Genomic DNA, 7,813 nt, shown 5'->3' with positions numbered 1-7,813 from the left:
CTATTAGTTTGTGGATCCTGCCTTAATCTAGAGCTGGCCTTAACTATATAAGAGGTTCTAGACTTACAGTGGTATAATCACGCAGAAAAGAATAACACATATGTAGGATTTATATTCTTCATGTAAAGAAAAGTTTTAGTACTTCATGTATTGAACATATCAGAATAGGCAAGGTTATATTACACAAAGAAACATCTCTAATATCTCTTCGGTTTGCCACATGGATAATTTACTTACTATTCATGCTACATACTCTTTGATGATCAAAAGAGGTACTCTTTTCACTATATCAAGGAACAAGGAAACAATTTCAAACGTTGCCAGCTTCTATGCTGGAAAGATCACTTTAAATGATAGGACCTTAACAGTTTGAACAAGTCAAATGGCCCACCCAATCACAAAAAGTCCAAGAAGTTATCCTACCTCATGTACAGAAGAGAAAAGAACAGGAAACATTTGGTTAATAGCTCTATGGATCACCAGAGTTCTTTCTTTTTATAATTGGATATTTAATTCACTTCCCTTCTTGCTTACAGAGTAAATCTCATTCCAAAATGAAATTACATTGAACGTTTAGCACCTGACAGAAACAAATTCTTGTTTTCTTTTTTTTTTTGTCTCACTCTCTTCTCAAACTCATTTTTTTTTTTAATTTTATTATTATTATACTTTAAGTTTTAGGGTACATGTGCACAACATGCAGATTTGTTACAATTGTATACATGTGCCATGTTGGTGTGCTGCACCCATTAACTCGTCATTTAGCATTAGGTATATCTCCTAATGCTATCCCTCCCCCATCCCCCCACCCCACAACAGTCACCTGAGTGTGATGTTCCCCTTCCTGTGTCCATGTGTTCTCATTGTTTAATTCCCACCTATGAGTGAGAACATGCAGTGTTTGTTTTTTTGTCCTTGGGATAGTTTGCTGAGAATGATGGTTTCCAACTTCATCCATATCCCTACAAAGGACATGAACTCATCATTTTTTATGGTTGCATAGTATTCCATAGTGTATATGTGCTACATTTTATTAATCCAGTCTATCATTGTTGGACATTTGGGTTAGTTCCAAGTCTTTGCTATTGTGAACAGTACCGCAATAAACATACGTGTGCATGTGTCTTTAGAGCAGCATGATTTATAATCCTTTGGGTATATACTCAAGTAATGGGATGGCTGGGTCAAATGGTATTTCTAGTTCTAGATCCATGAGGAATTGCCACATCGACTTCCATAATGGTTGAACTAGTTTACAGTCCCACCAACAGTGTAAAAGTATTCCTGTTTCTCCACAGCCTCTCCAGCACCTGTTGCTTCCTGACTTTTTAATGATCGCCATTCTAACTGGTGTGAGATAGTATCTCATTGTGGTTTGGATTTGCATTTCTCTGATGGCCAGTGATGATGAGCATTTTTTCATGTGTTTTTTGGCTGCATAAATGTCCTCCTTTGAGAAGTGTCTGTTCACATTCTTTGCCCACTTGTTGATGGGGTTGTTTGTTTTTTTCTTCTAAATGTGTTTGAGTTCATTGTAGATTCTGGATATCAGCCCTTTGTCAAATAAGTAGATTGCAAAAATTTTCTCCCATTCTGTAGGTTGCCTGTTCACTCTGATGGTAGTTTCTTTTGCTGTGCAGAAACTCTTTAGTTTGATTAGATCCCATTTGTCAATTTTGGCTTTTGTTGCCATTGCTTTTGGTGTTTTAGTCATGAAGTCCTTGCCCGTGCCTCTGTCCTGAATGGTATTGCCTAGGTTTTCTTCTAGGGTTTTTATGGTTTTAGGTCTAACATGTAAGTCTTTAATCCATCTTGAATTAATTTCTGTATAAGGTGTAAGGAAGGGATCCAGTTTCAGCTTTCTACATATGGCTAGCCAGTTTTCCCAGCACCGTTTATTAAATAGGGAATCCTTTCCCCATTGCTTGTTTTTGTCAGGTTTGTCAAAGATCAGACAGTTGTAGATATGTGACATTATTTCTGAGGGCTCTGTTCTGTTCCATTGATCTATATCTCTGTTTTGGTACCAGTATCATGCTGTCTTGATTACTGTAGCCTTGTAGTATAGTTTGAAGTCAGGTAGTGAGATGCGTCCAGCTTTGTTCTTTTGGCTTAGGATTGACTTGGCAATGCAGGCTCTTTTTTGGTTCCATATGAACTTTAAAGTAGTTTTTTCCAATTCTGTGAAGAAAGGCATTGGTAGCTTGATGGGGATGGCATTGAATCTAAAAATTACCTTGGGCAGTATGGCCATTTTCACGATATTGATTCTTCCTATCCATGAGCATGGAATGTTCTTCCATTTGTTTGTATCCTCTTTTATTTCGTTGAGCAGTGGTTTGTAGTTCTTGAAGAGGTCCTTCATGTCCCTTGTAAATTGGATTCCTAGGTATTTTATTGTCTGTGAAGCAATTGTGAATGGGAGTTCACTCATGATTTGGCTCTCTCTTTGTCTGTTATTGGTGTATAAGAATGCTTGTGATTTTTGTACATTGATTTTTTTCCTGAGACTTTGCTGAAGTTGCTTATCAGCTTAAGGAGATTTTGGGCTGAGACGATGGGGTTTTCTAGATATACAATCATGTCATCTGCAAACAGGGAAAATTTGACTTCCTCTTGTCCTAATTGAATGCCCTTTATTTCCTTCTCCTGCCTAATTGCCCTGGCCAGAACTTCCAACACTATGTTGAATAGGAGTGGTGAGAGAGGGCATCCCTGTCTTGTGCCAGTTTTCAAAGGGAATGCTTCCAGTTTTTGCCCATTCAGTATGATATTGGCTGTGGGTTTTTCATAGATAGCTCTTATTATTTTGAGAGACGTCCCATCAATACCTAATTTATTGAGAGTTTTTAGCATGAAGTGTTGTTGAATTTTGTCAAAGGCCTTTTCTGCATCTATTGAGATAATCATGTGGTTTTTGTCTTTGGTTCTGTTTATATGCTGGATTACATTTATTGATTTGCATATGTTGAACCAGCCTTGCATCCCAGGAATGAAGCCCACTTGATCATAGTGGATAAGCTTTTTGATGTGCTGCTGGATTTGGTTTGCCAGTATTTTATTGAGGATATTTGCATCAATGTTCATCAAGGATATTGGTCTAAAATTCTCTCTTTTTTTGTGTCTCTGCCCAGTTTTGGTATCAGGATGATGCTGGTCTCATAAAATGAGTTAGGGAGGATTCCCTCTTTTTCTATTGATTGGAATAGTTTCAGAAGGAATGGTACCAGCTCCTCCTTGTACCTCTGGTAGAATTCGGCTGTGAATCCATCTGGTCGTGGACATTTTTGGTTGGTAAGCTATTAATGATTACCTCAATTTCAGAGCCTGTTATTGGTCTATTCAGAGATTCAACTTCTTCCTGGTTTAGTCTTGGGAGGGTGTATGTGTCGAGGAATTTATCCATTTCTTCTAGATTTTCTAATTTATTTGCATAGAGGTGTTTATAGTATTCTCTGATGGTAGTTTGTATTTCTGTGGGAATGGTGGTGATATCCCCTTTGTCATTTTTTATTGCGTCTATTTGATTCTTCTCTCTTTTCTTCTTTATTAGTCTTGCTAGTGGTCTTTCAATTTTGTTGATCTTTTCAACAAACCAGCTCCTGGATTCATTGATTTTTTGAAGGGGTTTTTGTGTCTCGATTTCCTTCAGTTCTGCTTTGATCTTAGTTATTTCTTGCCGTCTGCTAGATTTTGAATGTGTTGGCTCTTGCTTCTCTAGTTCTTTTAATTGTGTTGCTAGGGTGTCAATTTTAGATCTTTCCTGCTTTCTCTTGAGGGCATTTAGTACTATAAATTTTGTTCTACACACTGCTTTGAATGTGTCCCAGAGATTCTGGTATGTTGTGTCTTTGTTTTCGTTGGTTCCAAAGAACATCTTTATTTCTGCCTTCATTTCATTATGTACCCAGTAGTCATTCAGGAGCAGGTTGTTCAGGTTCCATGTAGTTGAGCAGTTTGAGTGAGTTTCTTAATCCTGATTTCTAGTTTGATTGCACTGTGGTCTGAGAGACAGTTTGTTATAATTTCTGTTCTTTTACATTTGCTGAGGAGTGCTTTACTTCCAACTATGTGGTCAATTTTGGAACAGGTGTGTTGTGGTGCTGAAAATAATGTATATTCTGTTGATTTGGGGTGGAGAGTTCCGTAGATGTCTATTAGGTCCGCTTGGTGCAGACCTGAGTTCAATTCCTGGATATCCTTGTTAACTCTCTGTCTCGTTGATCTGTCTAATGTTGACAGTGGGGTGTTAAGGTCTCCCATTATTATTGTGTGGGAGTCTAAGTTTCTTTGTAGGTCACTAAGGACTTGCTTTATGAATCTCAGTGCTCCTGTATTGGGTGCATATATATTTAGGATAGTTAGGTCTTCTTGTTGAATTGAACCCTTTACCATTATGTAATGGCCTTCTTTGTCTCTTTGGTCTTTGTTGGTTTAAGGTCTGTTTTATCCGAGACTAGGATTGCAACCCCCGCCTTTTTTTGTTTTCCATTTGCTTGGTAGATCTTCCTCCATCCTTTTATTTTGAGCCTATTTGTGTCTCTGCACGTGAGATGGGTTTCCTAAATACAGCACAGTGATGGGTCTTGACTCTTTATCCAATTTGCCAGTCTGTGTCTTTTAATTGGAGCATTTAGCCCATTTACATTTAAGGTTAATATTGTTATGTGTGAATTTGATCCTGTCATTATGATGTTAGCTGGTTATTTTGCTCGTTAGTTGATGCAGTTTCTTCCTAGCCTCGATGGTCTTTACAATTTGGCATGTTTTTGCTATGGCTGTTACCAGTTGTTCCTTTCCATGTTTAGTGCTTCCTTCAGGAGCTCTTTTAGGGCAGGCCTGGTGGTGACAAAATCTCTCAGCATTTGCTTGTCTGTAAAGTATTTTATTTCTTCTTCACTTATGAAGCTTAGTTTGGCTGGATATGAAATTCTGGGTTGAAAATTCTTTTCTTTAAGAATGTTGAATATTGGCCCCCACTCTCTTCTGGCTTGTAGAGTTTCTGCTGAGAGATCAGCTGTTAGGCTGATGGGCTTCCCTTTGTGGGTAACCCGACCTTTCTCCCTGGCTGCCCTTAACATTTTTTCCTTCATTTCAACTTTGGTGAACCTGACAATTATGTGTCTTGGAGTTGCTCTTCTCGAGGAGTATCTTGGTGGCGTTCTCTGTACTTCCTGAATTTGAATTTTGGCCTCCCTTGCTAGATTGGGGAAGTTCTCCTGGATAATATCCTGCAGAGTGTTTTCCAACTTGGTTCCTTTCTCCCCGTCACTTTCAGGTACACCTATCAGACGTAGATTTGGTGTTTTCACATAGTCCCATATTTCTTGGAGGCTTTGTTCATTTCTTTTTATTCTTTTTTCTCTATACTTCTCTTCTCACTTCATTTCATTCATTTCGTCTTCCATCGCTGATACCCTTTCTTCCAGTTGATTGCATCAGCTACTGAGGCTTGTGCATTTGTCACGTAGTTCTCATACCGTGGTTTTCAGCTCCATCAGGTCCTTTAAGGGCTTCTCTGCATTGGTTATTCTAGTTAGCCATTTGTCTAATTTTTTTTCAAGGTTTTGAACTTCTTTGCCATGGGTTCGAACTTCCTCCTTTAGCTCGTAGTAGTTTGATCTTCCGAAGCCTTCTTCTCTCATCTCGTCAGAGTCATTCTCTGTCCAGCTTTGTTCCATTGCTGGTGAGGAGCTGCATTCCTTTGAAGGAGGAGAGGCGCTCTGATTTTTAGAGTTTCCAGTTTTTCTGCTCTGTTTTTTCCCCATCTTTGTGGTTTTATCTACCTTTGGTCTTTGATGATGGTGACGTACAGATGGGTTTTTGGTGTGGATATCCTTTCTGTTTGTTAGTTTTCCTTCTAACAGTCAGGACCCTCAGCTGCAGGTCTGTTGGAGTTTGCCGGAGGTCCACTCCAGACCCTGTTTGCCTGGGTATCAGCAGTGGTGGCTGCAGAACAGTGGATATTGGTGAACTGCAAATGCTGCTGCCTGATCATTCCTCTGGAAGTTTTGTCTCAGAGGAGTACCCAGTGGTGTGAGGTGTCAGTCTGCCCCTACTGGGGGGTGCCTCCCAGTTAGGCTACTCGGGGGTCAAGGACCCACTTGAGGAGGCAGTCTGCCCATTCTCAGATCTCAAGCTGCATACTGGGAGAACCACTATTCTCTTCAAAGCTGTCAGACAGGGACATTTAAGTCTGCAGAGGTTACTGCTGCCTTTGTTTGTCTGTGCTCTGCCCCAGAGGTGGAGCCTACAGAGGCAGGCAGGCCTCCTTGAGCTGCGGTGGGCTCCACCCAGTTCGAGCTTCCCAGCCACTTTGTTTACCTACTCAAGCCTTGGCAATGGCAGGTGCCCCTGCCCCAGCCTCACTGCCACCTTGCAGTTTGATCTCAGACTGCTGTGCTAGCAGTGTGTGAGGCTCCATGGGCGTAGGACCCTCCGAGCCAGGTGCAGGATATAATCTCCTTGTGTGCCATTTGTTAAGCCAGTTGGAAAAGTGTAGTATTAGGTGGGAGTGACCCGATTTTCCAGGTGCTGTCTGTCACCCCTTTCTTTGACTAGGAAAGGGAATTCCCTGACCCCTTGTGCTTCTCAGGTGAGGTGATGCTTCACTCTGCTTTGGCTCACACACAGTGTGTTGCACCCACTGTCCTGCACCCACTGTCTGGCACTCCCCAGTGAGATGAACCCAGTACCTCAGTTGGAAATGCAGAAATCACCCATCTTCTGTGTCGCTCATGCTGGGAGCTGTAGACTGGAGCTGTTCCTATTCGACCATCTTGGCTCCACCCTCTAAATTCTCGTTTTCATGTCAAGTCTGGATGTAACTGCTCATGATCTGAAGAAATAGTGACTTTAAACATTTTGAATCTGCTTTTTAACTTATTCAGTGCAAAAAATTATATTAGTTATCTATTACTGAGTGACACATTACCTGAAACCATTTATATCTGCAGTTTCTGTATATCAGAAGTCTGGGCATGAGTTAAGTGGGTTTTCTGGTCTTGGTCTTGCAAGACAACAAGCTGTTGAACAAGACCTCAGTCACTTCAAGTTTGATGGAGGCAAGATCATCTTCTAAGGCCACTCAGTGATTGTTGGAAGGGTTCATTCCTTTTGGGTCATTGAACGGAAGGTATGGTGTGCTCTCAAGCTATTGGCTGGTGGCCTCTGTCTTTCATACTATGTGGGCCTCACCCTGAGGTAGGCATTAATATAGAATTTGGCTTCATGAGAGCCAGTAAGTGAAAGGATGAGACAGAGTGAAAGCCAGATGAAAGTCTTACTCTTCTATAATCTAATGTTGGAAGTGACATCCAAACATTTTTACCACTTGCTATTTGTTAGAAACAAGTCATTAGGCCCAGTCCACACACAAAGGGAGAAGATTTTTACAAGGGCGCGTGAACATTAGAAGGACACACAATATTTAGAGGCATTTTGAAACCACCTATCACAATGATAGAAAAACAGGATGATTTTGAAGAACACTCTTATTTTGGAAGGACAAAAGTAGAGACACAGAAGGTTTTTGGATTACAGGAATTAAAACTCTGGCTGGACAAATATAGCAAGAGACTTCCTGTACTTGGGGTGTAGGGTTGTTCCTTAATTAGACCTGTGCTATTATTTATTAGATGTGCTTCCCAATCCTTTGCTTTTGGTGGACCTTGGTAATGTCCTATTTCTTATGGGACTGTTCCTTTTCCATTTTTCTTCATGACCACATCAGTTTGGGGGCTGAGCAAATTTCTGAATCCCCTATCCTTAGAAACTTGGGAGACCAAGGGCAGTTTTTTGTCTTGGTCAAATA

The sequence above is a fragment of the Homo sapiens genome, chromosome 4, assembly GCF_000001405.40.
Source record: "Homo sapiens chromosome 4, GRCh38.p14 Primary Assembly".
Lineage (NCBI taxonomy): Eukaryota > Metazoa > Chordata > Mammalia > Primates > Hominidae > Homo > Homo sapiens.
The sequence above is the reverse complement of the archived record's forward strand: the minus strand, read 5'-3'. Positions refer to the sequence as shown.